The 21,508-nt window shown below is 38.9% G+C and overlaps 1 protein-coding gene across 1 annotated transcript in view, besides 3 other annotated features; it reads right to left on the bottom strand.

Annotated features, from left to right (window-relative positions):
• KHDRBS2 (KH RNA binding domain containing, signal transduction associated 2) overlaps positions 1–21,508 on the bottom strand; it is a 743,556-nt gene that overhangs the window by 55,628 nt on the left and 666,420 nt on the right. The window contains exon 14 of the transcript NR_146870.2: positions 7,993–8,148. The gene's annotated coding sequence lies outside the window, so the exon portion shown is untranslated. The remainder of the gene's footprint in view (positions 1–7,992; positions 8,149–21,508) is intronic.
• Positions 7,360–8,033: an enhancer, noted in NCBI's record as "OCT4-NANOG hESC enhancer chr6:62315562-62316235 (GRCh37/hg19 assembly coordinates)". NCBI's record gives its function as "activates a minimal SCP1, AML or CMV promoter by ChIP-STARR-seq in naive H9 embryonic stem cells {active_cell/tissue: H9 hESC(naive)}" and the evidence as "EXISTENCE:reporter gene assay evidence [ECO:0000049][PMID:30033119]".
• Positions 7,647–7,941: an enhancer, noted in NCBI's record as "tiled region #7997; HepG2 Activating non-DNase unmatched - State 24:Quies". NCBI's record gives its function as "activates a minimal TATA promoter and a strong SV40 promoter by Sharpr-MPRA in HepG2 cells {active_cell/tissue: HepG2}" and the evidence as "EXISTENCE:reporter gene assay evidence [ECO:0000049][PMID:27701403]".
• Positions 8,247–8,541: a silencer, noted in NCBI's record as "tiled region #774; HepG2 Repressive non-DNase unmatched - State 24:Quies". NCBI's record gives its function as "represses a minimal TATA promoter and a strong SV40 promoter by Sharpr-MPRA in HepG2 cells {active_cell/tissue: HepG2}" and the evidence as "EXISTENCE:reporter gene assay evidence [ECO:0000049][PMID:27701403]".

The following is a 21,508-nucleotide window of genomic DNA, read 5'->3' on the forward strand; positions in this document are numbered from 1 at the left end:
CAAGCATATGTGAGACTGATAACATAAGGCCCTTTATGGCTTTAACCAATGCCTTTCCCAAGATTCAGACCATTCCCGATGACAGCTCAAAGAAAGGAAAGTTTTATTAGCCAAATGAGGTACATCCCACATTTCTGTCCAGTTGTATTCTATAGGGTCTCAGATTCTCAGATGACTGTCTACTCACACATACTCCATTACCAGTGTGCCCCATAGACAGAAGATTAAAAGAGAAAGTCAGTAAGACAGGAGATCAAAAACTTTTTCCTGGGGGTAGAAAGAATTGCAAATTGGTACCCAAAATAGTCAAGAGTTATACAAATATACATCCAAAGCAAGTAATTCAAACTAACTTTTATAAACGTTTCTTTCCTGACCCAACGGAATCTACTTAAGAATTTATTGTAGAAGTTTACATTTCAAAGTGGTAAACTTTACATCTCTCCCTGGTTCCTTGACCTAGAATCAAAGCTAGGCTGCAGCAGTGACAGCCAAATTCTAAACTCTAGAATAAAGGGTAGAGTGTCCTTTTTTCTTTTCTTTTTTTTTTTTTTTTTTTTTGCACATCAGGGTATTCAAAACAGGCAGTTGAGCATTGAGTGTACAAAGAATTTAAATTGTGTTTTTGTTTTTCTGCTTGTTTTTGTTTCTTTTGAGACAGAGTCTCAAACTGTCACCCAGGCTGAAGTGCAATGGCGTGATCTTGGCTCACTGCAACCTCCACCTCCCAGGTTTAAGCAATTCTCCTGTCTCAGCCTCCTGAGTAGCTGGCATTACAGGTGCCTGCCACCACGTCCAGCTAATTTTTTGTATTTTTTAGTAGAGACGAGGTTTCACCATGTTGCCCAGGCTGGTCTCGAACTCCTGACCTTGTGATTCACCTGCCTCGGCCTCCCAAAGTGCTGGGATAAACTTTGTTGTAAATCTGATTTATACGCTCTTTTTGATATTGCCAAGGGAGTTTCTGAGGCTGTATTCCAATAAAACAGCTGTTTAAGATGAGAGCTCTCTAAATAGTATTCTTTCATATATAGTCAGCTTATTTGTTTCATAAATGATTCAAGCCAATGAGCCTGTTTTCATACAAAGTCCCAGAGGTAACTTTTAAGATTTTGAATACCATGGACATGAGTGGATTTTTAAAAGTGGGTGCAGAAGATGTAGCCCCCCCAAAAAATTTTCTCAAAAATTCACTCCAAGAAATAAGCTAAGATAGTGAAACACTCTTGTTGCCACAGATGGTTAAGGATAGTGTTTGCACATATGGTGTCTTCAGTATTCCATGAATTTATGGAGGGTTGGCAGTCATAGAACCATTAAATCTGACACCCAGTAGGCCCTCCTAGGATTGAACTTTCCCAGGATTAGCCAGGCAACAAGGGTTGAGACAACAGAAACCTTTCATGGATGGGATTTCTTATAAAGACAAACTCCTGTGAGAACTTAGCCCATTCAGAAGACAGAAGGTGCTGCTTAATATCTGATGACTCTGTTCCCAGTCCTTTCACACTGGCCACTGGAAAGAACCTGAAAATCAGGTCCCCCAAATGGCAGAGACCAGTAAAGAGTGCTGCCACTTGGTCACAAGCCAAGCTATCAGGAATGTAGAACAAGATGAGAATGACTCTACGACAAATGACACAGAAAGAGACAAAGGAAAAAATAAAGACTATTTCTGGAAGGAAAAGATTCAGACAGTATGAAGATTCATATCAAAAAATTACATGACAGTTGGTACACTTAAGGCTAGTCTGCATAAATGCTTTTCACTTGTTAATCTTAAATTTGGAAAAAGAAAAAGAGACAAATAGTGATTTATTTATTTATTTATTTTGTACCATTCCTTGATGGGTTCCACAGGCTAACACCTGGGAATATGAGTGGTAAGTGTCAGGCCTCTGAACCCAAGCTAAGCCATCATATCCCTTGTGACCTACATGTATACATCCAGATAGCCTGAAGTAACTGAAAAATCACAAAAGAAGTGAAAATGGCCTGTTCCTGCCTTAACTGATGACAGTCCACCACAAAAGAAGTGAAAATGGCCAGTCCCTGCCTTAAGTGATGACATTACCATGTGAAATTCCTTCTCCTGGCTCATCCTGGCTCAAAAGCTTCCCAACTGAGCACCTTGTGAACCCCGCCCCTGCCAGCCAGAGAACAACCCCCTTTGACTGTAATTTTCCACTACCCACCCAAATCTTATAAAACAGCCACACCCCTATCTCCCTTCACTGAGTCTCTTTTCGGACTCAGCCCACCTGCACCCAGGAGATTAAAAAGCTTTACTGCTCACACAAAGCCTGTTTGGTGGTCTCTTCACATGGACGCGAGTGAAATTTGGTGCCGAAGACCCGGGTCAGAGGGACTTCTTCAGGAGATCAGCCCCCTGCCCTCACCCTCACTCCATGAAGAGATCCGTCTACGACTTCTGGTCCTTAGACTAACCAGCCCAAGGAACATCTCACCAATTTTAAATAGGATAAGTGGCCTCTCTTTACTCTCTTCTCCAACCTCTCTCACTATCCCACAACCTCTTTCTCCTTTCAATCTTGGCAACATCTTTCAATCTCTCCCTTCTCTTAATTTCAGTTCCTTTCCTTTTCTGGTAGAGACAAAGAGATGCGTTTTATCTATGGACCCAAAACTCCAGCGCCAGTCATGGACTCGGGAAGACAGTCTTCCCTTGGTGTTTAATCACTGCAGGGACGTCTGCCTGATTATTCACCCACATTTCATTGGTGTTTGATCACTGCAGGGATGCCTGCCTTGGTCATTCACCCACATTCCCTTGGTGGCAAGTCAATTGTGGGGATGCCTGCTTTGGCTGCTCACCCACATTGCAGCCCAGGGCTGCTCACCCAACCCTTTCTCTCCATTTCTCTACCCTCTCTTCTCTCCACTTTCCTGGGGGGCAAGCATCCCCCAACCCTTTTCCACTTTCCTGGGGGGCAGGCACCCCCCACCCCTTCTCTCCATGTCTCTACCCTCTCTTTTCTCTGGACTTGCCTCCTTCACTGTAGGCAAACTTCCACCCTCCATTCCTCCTTCTTCTCCCTTAGCCTGTGTTCTCAAGAACTTAAAACCTCTTCAACTCACATCTGACTTAAAATCTAAGCATCTTATTTTCTTCTGCAACACCACTTGACCCCAATACAGACTTGACAGTGGTTCCAAATAGCCAGATAATGGCACTTTCAATTTTTCCATACTACAAGATCTTGATAATTCTTGTCATAAAATAGGCAAACGGTCTGAGGTGCCTGACGTCCAGGCATTATTTTACACATCGGTACCTCCCTAGTCTCTGTTCCCAATGCAACTCATCCCAAATCCTCCTTCTTTCCCTCCCACCTGTCCCCTCAGTCCTAACCCCAAGTGTTGCTGAGTCTTTCCAATATTCCTTTTCTACAGACCCATCTCACCTCTCCCCTCCTCCCCAGGCTGTTCCTAGCCAGGCTGAGCCAGGTCCCAATTCTTCCTCAACTTCTGCTCTCCCACCCTATAATCCTTTTGTCACCTCCCCTACTCACACCTGGTCCAGCTTACAGTTTCATTCCGTGACTAGCCCACCCACACCTGCCCAGAAATTCCCTCTTAAAAAGGTGGCTGGAGCTAAAGGCATAGTCAAGGTTAATGCTCCTTTTTCTTTATCCGACCTCTCCCAAATCAGTTAGCATTTAGGCTCTTTTTCATCAAATATAAAAACCCAGCCCAGGTCACGGCTTATTTGGCAGCAACCCTGAGATGCTTTACAGCCCTAGACCCTAAAAGGTCAAAAGGCCGTCTTATTCTCAATATGCATTTTATTACCCAGTCTGCTCCCAATATTAAACAAAGCTCCAAAAATTAAATTCTGGCCCTCAAATCCCACAACAGGACTTAATTAACCTAGCCTTCAAGATGTACAGTAATAGAGTAGAGGCACCCAAGTAGCAATGTATTTTTGAGTTGCAGTTCCTTGCCTCCACTGTGAGACAAACCCCAGCCAAATCTCCAGGACACAAGAACTTCCAAAGGCTTGAACCGCAGTGGCCAGGCATTCCTCCAGGACCGCCTACCCCAGGATCTTGCTACGAGTGCCAGAAATCTGGCTGCTGGGCCAAGGAATGCCTGTAGCCCAGGATTCCTCCTAAGCTGTGTCCCATCTGTGCAGGATCCCACGGAAAATTGGACTGTTCAACTCACCTGGCAGCCACTCCCAGAGCCCCTGGAACTCTGGCCCAAGGCTCTCTGACTGACTCCTTCCCAGATCTTCTCAGTTTAGTGGCTGAACACTGACACTGCCCGATCGCCTCAGAAGCCCCCTACACCATCACTGACGCCAAGCTTCAGGTAACTCTCACAGTGGAGGGTAAGTCCGTACCCTTCTTAATCAATACAGAGGCTACCCACTCCACATTACCTTCTTTTCAAGGGCCTGTTTCCTTTGCCTCCATAACTGTTGTGGGTATTGATGGCCAGGCTTCTAAACCTCTTAAAACTCCCCAACTCTGGTGCCAACTTAGACAATACTCTTTTAAGCACTCCTTTTTAGTTATCCCCACCTGCCCAGCTCCCTTATTAGGTCAAGACATTTTAACTAAATTGTCTGCTTCCCTGACTATTCCTAGGCTATAGCCACACGTCATTGCCACCTTTCCCCCCAGTTCAAAGCCTCCTTCACATCCTTTCCTTGTATTTCCCCACCTTAATCCACAAGTATAGGACACCTCTACTTCCTCCTTGGCAACAGATGATGCACCCCTTACCATCCCATTAAAACCTAATCACCCTTACCCCGCTCAATGCCAATATCCCATCCCACAGCATGCTTTAAAAGGATTAAAGCCTGTTGTCACTTGCCTGTTACAGCATGGCCTTTTAAAGCCTATAAACTCTCCTTACAATTCCATTTTACCTGTCCTAAAACCAGACAGGCCTTACAGGTTAGTTCAGGATCTGTGCCTTATCCACCAAATTGTCTTGCCTATCCACCACGTGGTGCCAAACCCATATACTCTCCTACCCTCAATACCTCCCTCCACAACCCATTATTCTGTTCTGGATCTCAAACATGCTTTCTTTACTATTCCTTTGCATCCTTCATCCCAGCCTCTCTTTGCTTTCACTTGGACTGACCCTGACACCCATCAGGCTCAGCAAATTACCTGGGCTGTATTGCTGCAAGGCTTCACAGACAGACCCCATTATTTCAGTCAAGCCAGAGTTCTTACACAAGAGCCGGGACCATGCCCTGTAGCCTTTTTATCCAAACAACTTGACCTTAATGTTTTAGCCTAGCCTCATGTCTGTCTGCAATGACTGCCGCTGCCTTAATACTTTTAGAGGCCCTCAAAATCACAAACTATGCTCAACTCACTCTCTACAGTTCTCATAACTTCCAAAATCTATTTTCTTCCTCCCACCTGATAAATATACTTTCTGCTCCCCAGCTCCTTCAGCTATACTCACTCTTTGTTGAGCCTCCCACAATTACCATTGTTCCTGGCTGGCCTTCAATCCAGCCTCCCACATTATTCCAGATACCACACCTGACCACCATGACTGTATCTCTCTGATCCACCTGACATACACCCCATTTCCCCATATTTCCTTCTTTCCTGTTTCTCACCCTGATCACATTTGGTTTATTGATGGCGGTTCCACCACGCCTAATCACCACTCACCAGCAAAGGCAGGCTATGCTGTAGTATCTTCCACACTTATCATTGAGGCTACCGCTCTGCCCCCTCCACTACCTCTCAACCAGCCAAACTCCTTTCCTTAACTCAAGCCCTTGCTCTTGCAAAAGGACTATGCATCAATATTTATATGACTCTAAATAAATATGCTTTCCATATCCTGCACAGCCATGCTGTTATAGGGGCTGAAAGAAATTACCTCACTATACAAGGGTCATCTATCATTAATACCTCTTTAATAAAAACTCTTCTCAAGGCCACTTTACTTCCAAAGGAAGCTGGAGTCATTCACTGCAAGGGTCATCAAAAGGCATCAGATCCATTGCTCAGGACAATGCTTATGCTGATAAGGTAGCTAAGAAAAGCAACTAGTATTCCAACTTTTATCCCTCATGGCAGTTTTTCTCCTTCTCATCTGGTCACTCCCACCTACTCCACCACTGAAACTTCCACCTATCAATCTCTTCCCACACAAGGCAAATGGTTCTTGGACCAAAGAAAATATCTCCTTCCAGCCTCACAGGCCCATTCTATTCTGTTGTCATTTCATAACCTCTTCCATGTAGGTTACAAGCCGCTAGCCTGTCTCTTAGAACCACTCATTTCCTTTCCATTGTGGAAATCTATCCTCAAGGAAATCACTTCTCAGTGTTCCATCTGCTAGTCTACTACTCTTCAGGGATTGTTCAGGCCCCCTCCTTTCCCTACACATCAAGCTTGGGGATTTGCCCCTGCCCAGGGCTGGCAAATTGACTTTACTTACATGCCCTGAGTCAGGAAACTAAAATAACTCTTGGTCTGGGTAGACACTTTCACTGGATGTGTAGAGGCCTATCCCACAGGGTCTGAAAAGGCCACCATGGTCATTTCTTCCCTTCTGTAAGACATAATTCCTTGGTCTGGCCTGGCCTTCCCACCTCTATACAGTCCAATAATGGACTGACCTTTATTAGTCAAATCACCCAAGCAGTTTCTCAGGCTCTTGGCATTCAGTGGAACCTTCATACTCCTTACCATCCTCAATCTTCAGAAAAGGTAGAATGGACTAATGGTCTTTTAAAAACACACCTCACCAAGCTCAGCCACCAACTTAAAAAGGACTGGACAATACTTTTACCACTTGCCCTTCTGCGAATTCGGGCCTGTCCTCGGGATGCTACAAGGTACAGCCCATTTAAGTTCCTGTATGGATGCTCCTTTTTATTAGGCCCCAGTCTCATTCCAGACACCAGACCAACTTGGACTGCACCCCACAAAACTTGCCATCCCTACTATTTTCTGTCTAGTCATATTCCTATTCACCATTCTCAACTATTCATAAATGCCCTGCTCTTGTTTACACTGCTGGATTACACTGCTTCTCCAAGCCATAGCTTAGTACCATACCATAGCTGATATCTCCTGGTGCTATCCCCAAACCGCCACTCTTAACTCTTAAAGTAAATAAATAATCTTTGCTGGCAGGATATGCTGAACCTCTTTGGGCACTCTCTAATTGGATGTCCTGGGTCCTCCCAATTCTTAGTCCTTTAATACATATTTTTCTCCTTGTCTTATTCTGTTTAGTTTTTTAATTCATATAAAACCATATCCAGGCCATCACCAATAATTCTAAATGACAAATGTTTCTTCTAACAACCCCACAATATCACCCCTTACCACAAAATCTTCCTTCACCTTAATCTCTCCCACTCTAGGTTCCCACACTGCCCCAATCCCACTCAAAGCAGCCCTGAGAAACATCACCTATTATCTCTCCATACCATCTGCAAAAATTTTCACCACCCCAACACTTTACCACTATTTCATTTTATTTTTCTTATTAATATAAGAAGACAAGAATGTCAGGCCTCTGAGCCCAAGCTAAGCCATCATATCCCCTGTGACTTCCATGTATACATCCAGATGGCCTGAAGTAACTGAAGAATCACAAAAGAAGTGAAAGTGGCCTGTTCCTGCCTTAACTGATGACATTCCACCACAAAAGAAGTGAAAATGGCCGGTCCCTGCCTTAAATGATGACAATACCTTGTGAAATTCCTTCTCCTGGTTCATCCTTGCTCAAAAGCTCCCTGACTGAGCACCTTGTGAACCCCGCCCCTGCCAGCCAGAGAACAACCCCCTTTGACTGTAATTTTCCACTACCCATCCAAATCTTATAAAAAGGCCCCACCCCTATCTCCCTTCGCTGAGTCTCTTTTCGGACTCAGCCTGCCTGCACCCAGGTGATTAAAAAGCTTTATTGCTCACACAAAGCCTGTTTGGTGGTCTGTTCACATGGACACAAGTGAAAGTAAGAAATTCTTACCCTTCTGCTGACTTGTCAGGTCCAGTGTTCCTTTGACTTCAGCTTCCAGAAGAGCAGAGTGGGTTTGGTTATCTTGCTCACAGTGCCAAAAATGAACGGGCCAAGGGAAATCTTCCCTTTTGCCCTTCCCCTTCAAAGTTTTGCTGAAAATTAAAACTGACAAAAGGAAGGAGAAACAGGAGAAAAGGCATAAAAAATTTTTAAATGTGCAGAAGTGTGCGTGGAAGTCATACAAAATATGAAAATTCCAAGAAACGGCCAGATAATAGATCCTTTTATATCATCTTGAGGTTATGGTAAGAATGGGGGCTTAGAGCATGGCAAGACAGGTTATAGGAAAGAGAAAGAAAGAAAGGTATGGCTAGCAAAGTAGGTCTTGTTATGCAGATGTAACCTCACAGGTAGCAGCCCTCAGAAAGAATAGTTGGAAGACTGGCTGAGTGATCTTTCCTAGATCTGGATATTGAGGAGGGCTTCAGAGAAGGCCTGGCAGTTTGTTTTTCTCTACAGGTGCAAATATCTTCCACAAAAAGCAGCTTTTCAGGTTTATTTTTATCTGCAGGCCCTCTAAATAGATATCTCAAACATGTCAATAAAGTATATTATGGGGTTTAATATTTTTGGTTTCCTTTAGTGGTCAAGGGTTATCTGATTTAAATGTGATCAAATAGTCAAGAATCACTGAATGCATGGAGGAAATTAAAACCATAAAATAGAGTTATCAAATAAAACATAAGTCAAATAACACCTGACAAAATAGAGTAATATAGAAAATAGGAAAAAACTTCAGGATACGCATGATTAATTTTTTTTGGAAAAAGTTAGTTACAACAGACTATTATAATCATAAAAAAGGACAAAGTAGAGATTTTGGACATTAAAAGTTTGTTGAAATAAAGAAAAACAGAGGGAAGAGATGTAAAATAAGCACAACTAAAGACCATATCTGTGAGCTGAGAGAATAGCTAACATTTTCCCTAAAATTTCCATTAAAAATTAAAAATAATATAATACATAACATGCTAATACTGCACAATTTAATAAACACACAGAAGAGGGGAGCAAAAATTAGTTCAGATATAAAATAATTAAATATAAACATCAAGAGAAAAAATTAGTTGATTTTAAAAAACAATAAAATAGATAAGCCTCTGAAATAATTTTTTAAAAGAGGAATATAAAAATAAATTACATTAGACTTGAGGTAGAAGCATACATATGAGTTCCAAGCAAAAAAAAAAAAAAAAAAAAAAAAAGATGTGTGAGAAATTCTGTACAACTCTTTGCCAAAGATTAAAAAAATCTAGACAAAATGGATGATTTTTAAAAAAATTAACACTTACTGAAATTAACTCAAGAAGATGTAGAAATTATGAATAGCCCAAAAATCATTAAAGAAATTTCTTTTCTTTTTTTGAGGCAGAGTCTTGCTCTGTTGCCCAGGCTGGAGTGCAGTGGTGCAATCTTGGCTCACTGCAACCTCCACCTCCTGGGCTCAAGCAATTCTCCTGCCTCAGCCTCCCTGGTAGCTGGGATTACAGCTGTGCACCACCACGCCTGGCTATTTTTTGTATTTTTAGTAGAGATTGGGTTTCACCATGTTGGCCAGGCTGGTCTCAAACTCCTGACCTCAAGTGATCCGCCTACCTTGGCCTCCCAAAGTGCTGGGATTACAGGTGTGAGACACCATGCCCGGCCTAGAAATTTCTTTAATGTAGCCAATGATTTACTTCAAAATTGATCTTTAAACTCAATGCAATTCCTCCCTAAATCCCAACAAGGTGTTTCAATGCAACTTGACAAACTGATTTAAAGTCCACATTGGAAGACAAGAATTCTAAGAATAGCCCAGATACTTTTTATGAAGGACAATGAAGAGAATACTGAATTATGAATTATCAAAGCATATTATAGCTATATCAGTCTAACATTTCTGCTTGTTTTATATATATATACATATATACACATATATACTCACATACACACATACTCAACTCTCTCCCTTTATATGTGTGTATATATATGTGTGTATATATATACATATGTGTGTGTGTGTGTGTGTGTACACCTGTAAAGGGAGAAGAAGAAGCAATTCTATGGATATGTATGAAAATTTTGTTTAAGATGGTATTTAATTTTTTTTCTTTTTTTCTTTTTTAATTAGGTATAATTAAGTTCTGGGATAAATGTGCAGAACATGCAGGTTTGTTACATAGGTATACAGGTGCCATGGTGGTTTGCTGCACTCATCAACCCATCATCTACATTAAGTATCCCTCCTAATGTTATCCCTCCCCTTATCCCCCACCCCCCAACAGGCCCCAGTGTGTGATGTTCCCCTCTCTGTGTCCATGTGTTCTCATTGTTCAACTCCCACTTATGAGTGAGAACATGCAGTGTTTGGTTTTTTGTTCCTGTGTTAGTTTGCTGAGGATGATGGTTTCCAGTTTCATCCATGTCCCTGAAAAGGACATGAACTCATCCTTATTTATGGCTGCATGGTATTCCATGGTGTATATGTGCCACATTTTCTTTATGTAGTGTATTATTGATGAGCATTTGGGTTGGTTCCAAGTCTCTGCTATTGTGAATAGTGCTGCAGTAAACATATGTGTGTATGTGTCTTTATAGTAGAATGATTTATAATCCTTTGGGTATATACCCAGTAATGGGACTGCTGGGTCAAATGGTATATCTGGTTCTAGATCCTGGAGGAATCGCCACACTGTCTTCCACAATGGCTGAACTAATTTACACTCCCATCAACAGTGTGAAAGTGTTCCTATTTCTCCACATCCTCTCCAGCATCTGTAATCCCAGCACTTTGGGAGGCCAAGGCAGGTGGATCACTTGAGGTCAGGAGTTCGAGACCAGCCTAGCCAACATGGTGAAACCCCATTTCTACCAAAAATACAAAAAATAAGCTGGGCATGGTGGTGTGCACCTGTAATTTCAGCTACTCAGGAGGCTGAGGCAGAGAATCGCTTAAACCCAGGAGGTGGATGTTGCAGTGAGCCGAGATTGCGCCACTGCACTCCAGCTTGGGCAACAAGAGCGAAACTCTGTCTCAAAATCGGCAATGACGACAACAAAAACATTAAAGTTATTTCAAAAAGAGTAACTATAATGATGTATAATCTATTTACCATTTTTATGTAGCTATTTATAATGTTGGTGAATCCCTTTCCAAGATTGCTTCTAGTGCATATAATTTTCACATTGTCACAATTATATTTCATTCAAGGATTTAACATTTTTACATTATGTAGACTACGGGCTTCATAGCTATCATTTGTAAAATTTGTATGCTATTCTACCATTTTCTAAAATCAGCTAGTCACTGGTTTTTAGGTAAGTTTTAGACCCTGGTCAATGGAACTAGAAAAGGGTTAATGAATTAGCTTCTTTTGAGTTAGCTTTAGCTATTCTAAGTAGAAGTCATATAAATAATCCTTAAAAGCTAGGAGAAAGCTGGTAAATTTCCAAGCAGTCAATTCTAGCAGTGAGAGGGGAGTGAATATGTTTTAAAATAGTTTTTCTCAGAATATATCCTGAGGAATACTAATCTTTCACGATGTTCCAGTTTAAAAATTTTGAAAACAGGCTGGGTGCGGTGGCTCACGCCTAAAATCCCAGCATTTTGGGAGGCCAAGGCGGGAGGATCACGAGGTCAGGAGATAGATACCAACCTGGCTAACACGGTGAAACCCCGTCTCTGCTAAAAATACAAAAAAAAATTAGCTGGGCGTGGTGGTTGGTGCCTGTAGTCCCAGCTACTCGGGAGGCTGAGGCAGGAGAATGGCGTGAACCTAGGAGGTGGAGCTTGCAGTGAGCCAAGATCACGCCACTCCACTCCAGCCTGGGTGGCAGAACGAGACTCTGTCTCAATATATATATTTAAAAAAAAAAATTGAAAACAAAACTTGAAAAAACTTTGGCTACTATATTTTCCTATTAGGAAATCACATTCACAAATTATATTTCAATCTAGGGGAAAAATCATACCTATTTAGCATGGTTTTAAAAGAGATTTGCTTCATATATTTAAAACTTGCATTTGTTTTATATTGCTGTATAACAAATTATCTGAAAATTTAGCAACTTAAAATCATAAAAAATTATAATCTCACTTTTTTTGGGATAAGGAATTTGGGAGCCTTTTATCTGGGTGTTTGTGGGTCAGAATCTCTTATGGCTTTGCAACTAAGACAATGGCTGAGGCTGTAGTCACCTAAAAGCTTAACTGGTCCTATAGGGTCTGCTACCAGGATGGCGCACACACTTGTTGGCTGCAGGTCTTAGTTCCTCACCATGTGGACCTCTGCTTAGTGTTACTCAAGTATTCTCATGACACAGTAGTTGTCTCTCCCTAGAGCAAGCAATCCAAGAGAGAGAACAAGAAGGAAACCACAATGTCCCTCTTCCTTAATTTTCCCAATGCCTTCTAAGACAGTGTTTTTAAAAGCTAAACATTGTTCAAAACAAGTAGCTACAACCCTTATTCAAGAGGAGGGGACTTAGGTCTCACACGTTGAGAAGTACCAAATAATTTGTGAACACATTTTAAATCCACTACTATAGTCACGGAATCCACTCTTATAACTTAATAATACCTATTAACATGCTAAGGACCATTCTGGAAATACTTGGTTGTTGGGATTTAATACTGAAGAAGGCCCCTATGATATCTTTCTGATGGAGAAAATGGCAGGAATTGGCTGGCTATGTATTCATATCTAGATGGAAACTGCGTTTTGCATCTCTTTGGTAAAAATATTTTATAAATAATGCATAAGTGGGTTACTTATGACACTTTTTCAAAGACAGTGTAGTTAAATACAACTCAAAACAATCAATGACATGTAAACCCTGTATAAAATCAAGCAATTGGGACAGGACATTTGTTAGATATCTTGCACTTCTCTAATATTCACTAATTCTTTCATATAGTCATTTACCAATCTGTTCTTGAGAGCTTTACATTCACCTGGGCTATTGCATATACTGGTATACAAAGCCTAGTGAAAAAAGTACCCAATCACCTTATGAAAAGCATCATAGTTTTATAGAAAGAGACACATATGGAGCCATTTGCAAAGAAAAGGCTAAAGTAAATACTCTTACAGAGGTAAGACTAAGAGTTTGTGAGCAAAAGGATAGGATAAGTAAGTATGCCTGGAGAATATCTACAATGAAACCTTAAATTTAAGTTTTATCTCCTCTACTACTTCTGTTGTAACTTGTAAATCTTAGCATTTTAAGCTTTCATTAGAAGTAGCAATCTAATGTGTGAGTCGTTTATGTACATGGTGGAATTCATCTAGTTAGTGAGTCCTATATACAATCATTTGATTCTTTGTTCAAAATTTCAGCTTTTATTTTAGATACAGGGAGTACTTTCTTAGTGAGTCCTATATACACTCATTTGATTCTTTGTTCAAAATTTCAACTTTTATTTTGAACTTTCGTTACATGGGTATATTGCACCCAGCTACTGAGCATAGTACCCATTAGGTAGTTTTTCAACTCACCTTCCTCTCTATTCCTCCCTCTCTAGTAGTCTGCCATACCCAGTGTTTCCATGTTTATGTCCACGTGAGCTTAGTGTTTAGCTCCCAATTATAAGTGAGAACATGCAGTATTCTAGAAAGCATTATTCAGGAACAATTTAGCACATCAACCATATAGGAGAGAGCTAATAGAATCAGGTCATATCAAGTATGTGCTTGTATACATGTGCATATATAAATTATATACTTGAACATATATAACTTCTGTCTTGTCATGGCCATATGCAAAAAGTAAAGTACTAGAAAAAATCTTTAAAATATCCTGAAAATTTCCTATGTAATTTTTTTTCAAAGTTTGCTACAGTGAAAGCATATATGTTCAGTATCTCTACAAACTCTCTCATTTGTTCTCCTTTATGAGGCTAATGAGGACACTTTTTCTAGATCCTCAGAATTGCATATTATTTGTCACTTTTTAGCACTGAACATGGAAAGCTCAGATAACAGGTCTTTTTATAAAACTGTGGTTGAAAGAAGATCATAAAGTCTAAGATTTATGGCAATCTTTTTGGAAGGGAAAGTGGTTTGTTAGAATAAATATAGACCTTATGGTCATTTCCCAACCAGCTCAATATTGCTATCTATGTGGCACTGTTATTTAAACTCCTCATGTCACAGTTTTCTTAACTTTAAAATGGTTATAGTCATGTCTACTCTCAGTGTTGTTGCAGAAGGGCAAATAAGACAATGCTTCTAAATGCTTACCATAGTGCCAGGCACAAAAGAGTTAATAAATGACAGTGGCATTATCTATTATTTATTGAGCAACTATTTTGTCCCAGACACTGTGCCAAGCACTTTACATATATTATTTCAAAAATTCTATTAATTTATGGACAAGAATATTGAGAAAAGTTTAGAAACTTGCCCAAGTCATCAACCAATAGTAAAGCATTTTTATGGACCTAAATATTACAGCTGCACACCACCACACCTCTTCTCCATAGGCAAAGTAGTCTAAAACTGTTCAAAATGCAGCCTTTTTTTTTTTTTTTTTTTTTTTTTTTTTTTGAGACGGAGTCTTGCTCTGTCGCCCAGGCTGGAGTGCAGTGGCGCGATCTCGGCTGACGGCAAGCTCCGCCTCCTGGGTTCACGCCATTTTCCTGCCTCAGCCTCCCGAGTAGCTGGGACTACAGGTGCCCGCCACAACTCCCGGCTAATTTTTTGTATTTTTAGTAGAGACGGGGTTTCACCATATTAGCCATGATGGTCTCCATCTCCTGACCTTGTGATCCTCCCGCCTTGGCCTCCCAAAGTGCTGGGATTACAGGCGTGAGCCACTGCACCCAGCCAAAATGTAGCTTTTTACGTATTTGTTTATTGTTTCTTTTTACTGTTTCCTCCTATAGAATACAAGGGTCAGGAGACCAAGAACCTTGTGTGGCATATTTCCTGCGATAACTTCTGCTCCTAAAATGGTACCTGGCACTTACTAGTTGCTCAGTAAATATTTCCTGGATGCTTAAGTGAATGAATGTCTACGTGTAATACATAATTTAACAATCATTTTTTGTCAAATCTTGATAATATCATAGAATGCTTGAGGCCTTAGGAATCAACCTAGTCTGTTACCCTTATTTTGCACATGTCACCAGCAGCCCCGACAGATGACATTTGTTGTGTAAAATCACATCCTAATTATTATAGGATGAGAAATTAGGTCTCATATCTGTCCAGCTAAGGCATTTCTGCATCCACATTTCTTTTTTTCTTACACCCACTCCCTACTATTTTCTTTCTGCAGTCATTACAATCTTGCTTTATTTGGCTATAAGAAACTCTCAGTGATTTTTTAGTGTATGTAACTTTAAATGAAGACATTTCTTGATTCAGGGTATTAATTCTACTGAATAATGCAAATTTGTGTCTCAAAGAATTAGAGGAAAGCTGTTACTGTTCATACTAACCAATTGTAAATGGGAGATGTTTGGCATTCTACAGCAATCTTAGTATAAATTCTTCCCTTGAACCTACAAATAAATAAACAACCAACAGCAACATTGGGACATTTTTACTCAAGTAGTTTACCAGATGATATTTTCTGACCGTCTCTCTGTTTCCTAGATTAACTGGCCTACTGCATGACTAAATCATCCTCCAGACCAAAAATAATAAAGACAATTTATAGTTCAATTTATTTTGATTCAAGTCAAAAGTATTTTAACCCAGAAATGGTGCTTGACACTTTAAAGCACATTATTTTATTCGCTTCTTTAACAGCACCAGTAGCTTCATTTTGAACTTGAGAGAATGAGGTTCCCAAATAGTGAGAACCTCACTACTTACAGTCACATATTAAGTAATAAAGTCAGGATTTGAAGCTAGTTTGCTGAGGTTGTCTATTAAACATGTTGTGGTCTTACTCTCCTTCCTGCAATCTCCCAAGGTTATGGTTATGATGGGTGGGAATCAGAGAGGTATCATGTGCATTCTGGTAGTAACATAAATAGTCATGCTGACTCAGCTATCAGTTCACCTGCCATGATGATTATCAGAATGGATCTACAATCTGCTAATATTTTAAAAAAGAATCCTTTGCTAGGGATAATAATACTTCCAAAGATTTCCTAGTGTGACAACCTCAATTCACTACAAAATAATATAATTTTATCTTTATTTCCTCTGATTAAATTTAATTGTTTTGTCTGTATAACAGTAGTTTCATCTGTTCAGTGATTTTCTATTCAATCTTTTAGGGTGGGACTTAAATTATCTTGACCATTAATGACATTCTGGTCTACATCCAGATAAAAGGAATGGTGAAATGGAGTTCAGTTAGTCCACTGACATTTTTATTCTAGATAGAGGCATCATCATGAACAACAGATTCTTTTACTTTTTTCACAGAGTGTGGGGAAGTTTTTGCTGTATTTTATTTAAAAATTGTGAACTGGGGATTTTTCATCCATATTAAGAGCGCAGGTTCTGAATGCGGTATGACCTTGGTTTGGCTCTTGGCCCTGCAACGTAAGAGCTCTATGACTTAAGCAAGTGAACCTCAAGGAACTGCAGTTTTTTGATCTTCAAATAGGAATAAAAATCATCATAATATATTTCACATGTTCAATATCAAGATTAAATGAGTTACTATAGGCTGGGCATGGTGGCTCATGCCTGTAATCCCAGCACGTTGGGAGACTGAGGTGGGTGGATCATCTGAGGTCAGGAGTTTGAGACCAGCCTGGCCAACAGGTTGAAACCCCTTTCTACTAAAAATACAAAAATTAGCCGGGTGTGGTGGTGCATGACTGTAATCCCAGCTACTCGGGAGGCTGAGGCAGGAGAATCACCTGAATCCAGGAGGCAGATGTTGCAGTGAGCCGAGATCACACCACTGCACTCCAGCCTGGGTGACAGAGCAAGACTCCATCTCCAAAAAAAAAAAAAAAAAAGAAAGAAAAAAGAAAAAAAACAAGAAGAAGAAATGAGTTACTAGTTACTACAGATAATGCTCTTAAAATAGTGCCTGGCTGTTTGTAAGCATTAAATAAATATTATTATTTGGTTCAAGTCTACTTAGCAAAGTGCTGAACCTTTTCTGTTCTTTGCTCACTTTATTTGAGATGTTGTGAGTGGATATAGTTCAAAATTTAACAATACAAAAAATCAGAACTAAAAATAAATGAAGAAACAAGTAGTAGTGTTATTTCTTTTTTATACTCTGCCCACTCTCATCCCTAAAATCAGCTAACCTCTTCTTTTTCCTTGGAAATACCTGAATTCCTTGATGTTATTGATGAATGGTACAGATTGCATATCCCTAATTTGAAAATGTAAAATCCAAAGTGTTCCGAATTTGAAACATTTTGAGTGCCAACATGACGTTCAAAAGACATGCTCATTGAAACATTTTGGATTTTGAATTTTCAGATTAGGGATGCTCAAGTGGTAAGTATATATATTGCAAATATTCAAAAATCTGAAAAATAAATTGACATCCAAAACACTTCTAGGCCAAGCATTTTGGATAAGCAATACTCAACCTACATCCTACATGCATTACCTACCAGAGGAAAAATTAGAGATATGGCCCAAGTCTAGCTTAGGCATTTGTAGTATCATTTGGATAAATTCAAAGTTGACCAATCCATAAAAGTCTATGAAAAGGACATTAGGGCTGTTCCAAGTATATTATAAATGATACCAGTCATTTTTTCTTCAGAATGTCACTATTTCTGTTAAAAGACAGAATCCTGAGTTAGACAGATTATAGTTCTGTATCAAAATGGCATTTCCTTTCTGAAAGGAACTAACTATAGACAAACGTTTATGTTCCTGTGTCTCCTGAACTAGCAGCATCATTGAATGGGCTAAGTGAGAATGAGAGTTTAGGTGTAAAATGTTGGTGACTCAAAAGTGTAACCAAACTTCCTATTTCTTTTAAAATACACTATTAGCCTCCCCTATCTGAAGGCTTTCTGGAAGACTAGGGCATATAATTACACTGTAATGTTAGTGCAATAGTTATTCTTGTCCTCAATGACTATATGTGTGGAGTTGAGGGTAAAATAATTGGGCAGTGGTTAGCTGGAAAAATGAAATGGGATGACCCTATGCTAAGATGCTAAGAATGTTATAACAAAATTTTACTTTTACAATGAAAGAATATACATATATATATATATATATATATATATATAATGCTATTGCTTTCTAAACCATTAATAACATAAATTTTTTTAAATAATATTTGTAGATGATCAAGTGATTTAATTAATTTGATTGATTGATTAGGGTAGATTCTTGGCATCTGCAAAGGTCAAATATGAATGATAAACTTACATATATTGCACATGTAGTGTTGCCTGTTACTTTATTTCTTTTTGCTTGACCCCAACAACCCTTTTGAGAGGTGTATTAATGAGAAGACTAAGACTCAAAGGGGTCAAGTGGCTTGCAAAGTCCATTTAGCTGGTTAATACAAAGCATGTAATAGACCCAGCTCCCCGATTCTCCAGTTCAGCATTCCTCCCTGACTTCCCAGTCTAAGTGGAGAAAATTTGAAAATATTCAAGAAAATCCTCATTTGGAATATTATATTTGAACTTGCTAAAACTATCAGTTAAGATGACTACTTTAATTCTCAGGGACAACTTATTTTATTGAGTACTTTTTTTTTCTGTATTCTTTTTTCTGTATGTGGAACATTGGAATGAGATCACAAATAAAACTAAGTTCCAGTTGAGGCTACTTTCAGAACAAGAGAAATGAGGATGTAGATGCAGATGCAAAGCAATTAAGTATTTTCACCACACGTAATTGGACTATTGGGATTTAAAAATATAACTGATCTACTTTGATATATGTAATTGTTGGTTTTTACCTTAAATTTAGAAGCATTAAACTAGTTCCATATCACATTTTAAACTGTTCTGTCGCTATAGGTCTCTACACCTAGAATTTAAAGACTGATTCATAAAAAATCCTTTCATTTTAGACTTCTAAATGATCAGAATGGCTATCTGCATGCACTCTGGGTAACAATTTTGAAGGATAACTATGCTTTGATCTAGATTATCAGTCTCATTGTCCTAGTTATCTATCATCTTATTTTGATTATCTTCTTTCTAAAGTACTATCTATTATTAAAATAATGACATGATTATTTTGTTGCAGCAGTGCTTTATAACATTTATAACATTCTAATATCTTGTAAACCAGATTTATTTTGACATGTTAGGCAGTGAGGGTATGTGATTAGAATTAAATGTTAAAATACAAATTAAGAAGAATGTTAATTTATTTTATTCTGAAAGCTTATTAACTGAAAAAGACTGATTTTTTTTATCTATTTTGAGTATCTAATGTCAGCAATAGCATGTTCATAGCATACCTCATTAACTAAAGTAATTTAACAAAGAATTGTGTCCAAATGAATGCTAATAGCTTATAGAAGCACAAATAAAATTGAATTTATGTGAAGTATTTGCCTATGTCGAGGCACTAGGTAATTAATTTCTACACATTCCCTAGAAATAATTAGAGAATTTCATCAAGTTTTACTTAACCTTTGGATTTTCAAGAATACTACATAACATAAAAATTTTTTTAAAGCAATAAATCCTTTTTTCCCTAAATTGCTATTTTTCCAAGAAAATTTGCACTATTTTAGAATAATTTGCCATTTATTTCTTTAGCCTATCTTTGCATTGTTTTCCACATTGATACAAATTTTTAAAATATTGAAGGAATTTGAACCTAAATAGAAAGTCAAAATAATAAGCAATGTTTTTGTTGTTGTTGTTGTTGTTGTTTTCTAGCAATGATAACACTTTTGAAGGCAAATCAGTCTGAATGCCTGAATCAATTAATCAACAAATAGAGACTCTACCTTTTGTGGGGCACTATTTTGAGTCCAATTCTGTACCAAGCACTGTGTCTTTGGGAAATGACTGTCTTTTCATGATGATCTAGTTACCTAGAAGTTCCAGAATTCAGTCTACCACTATACATGGAACATTCTTTAGGCCGCATGCATGACATGACCAATTTTAGATTGATTATAAAGGATGGTTTTTAAAGACATTTTTAACATATTTTAACTTTCACATTACATTTTCCTGTTAGACAATTACTAGCCTTTACTTATTTATGTATTTGTCTATTTATTTTAACTTTTATTTTAAGTTCAGGGGTACAAGTGTAGGTTTGTTATCTAAGTATAATTGTGTCATGGGGGTTCGTTGTACAGATTATTTCATTTATCTCCCAGGTATTACACCTTGTACCCATTAGTTATTTTTCTTGTTCCTCTCCCTCTTCACACCCATCACACTCTGATAGGCCCCGTTGTGCATTGTTCCTTTCCGTCTGTACATGTGTTCTCATCATTTAGCTCCCACTTCTAAGTGAGAACATGCAGTATCTGGTTTTCTGTTACTGTGATAGTTTGCTAAGAATAATGGCCTCCAGCTCCATCCATGTGCCTGCAAAGGAAGCTAATTAGCCTTTCAGTTGGAGCTCTTTTACAGGGCATCTGCTGATATCTATAGATCCGATCTTAATTGTTTTCCCATGTATAGCTCTTTCTCAAATGCGTTATTTATTTATATTTATCATTTCTTGGGTTATTTTCTTATTAGAATGTAAGTGCTATGAGGGCAGAGTTTTCTGTCTATTTTGAGTTATGGTATATTCCTCAGCAGCACATTGAACAAAACATTTTCCCTGTCTTTGTGGAACTAGGCCATTTTAAAAAATAATATTGAAGAGTAAGTGAGCTAAGTTTGGTGAAATTGAATATAAAAAAAGTTTAATTAAAAATTTTTTTTCAATAGCTTTTGGGATACAAGTGGTTTTTGTTATATGGATGAATTATATAGTGGCGAATTCTGAGATTTTAGTACACCCATCACCCAAGTAGTGTACATCGTGTAGTTTTTTATCCCTAGCTCCCTCCCCACCCTCCCCCTTCTGAGTCTCTAAAGTCCATTGTATCACTCTGTATGCCTCCGTGTACTCATAGCTTAGCTTCCACTTATAGGTGAGAACATACAGTTTTTGATTTTCCATTCCTATGTTATTTCACTTAGAATAATGGCCTCTAGCTCCATCCAAGTTACTGGAAAATACATTATTTTTGTTTGTTTGTTTGTTTGTTTGTTTGTTTTTTGAGATGAAGTTTCACTCTTGTTGCCCAGGCTGGAGTGCAATGGTGCAACCTCAGCTCACTGCAACCTCTGCCTCCCGGATTCTAGTGATTCTCCTGCCTCAACCTCCCAAGTAGGTGGGATTATAGGCATGTGCCACCACGCCTGGCTAATTTTGTATTTTCAGTAGAGAAGGGGTTTCTCCATGTTTGTCAGACTGGTCTCGAACTCCTGACCTCAGGTGATCCACCTGCCTCGGCCTCCCAAAGTGCTGGGATTACAGGCATGAGTCACTGCGTCTGGCCTATTTTTTTTTAATGGCTGAGTAGTATTCCATGATGTGTATATACCACGCTT

Source organism: Homo sapiens, chromosome 6 (assembly GCF_000001405.40).
Source record: "Homo sapiens chromosome 6, GRCh38.p14 Primary Assembly".
In the NCBI taxonomy this organism is placed as follows: Eukaryota; Metazoa; Chordata; class Mammalia; order Primates; family Hominidae; genus Homo; species Homo sapiens.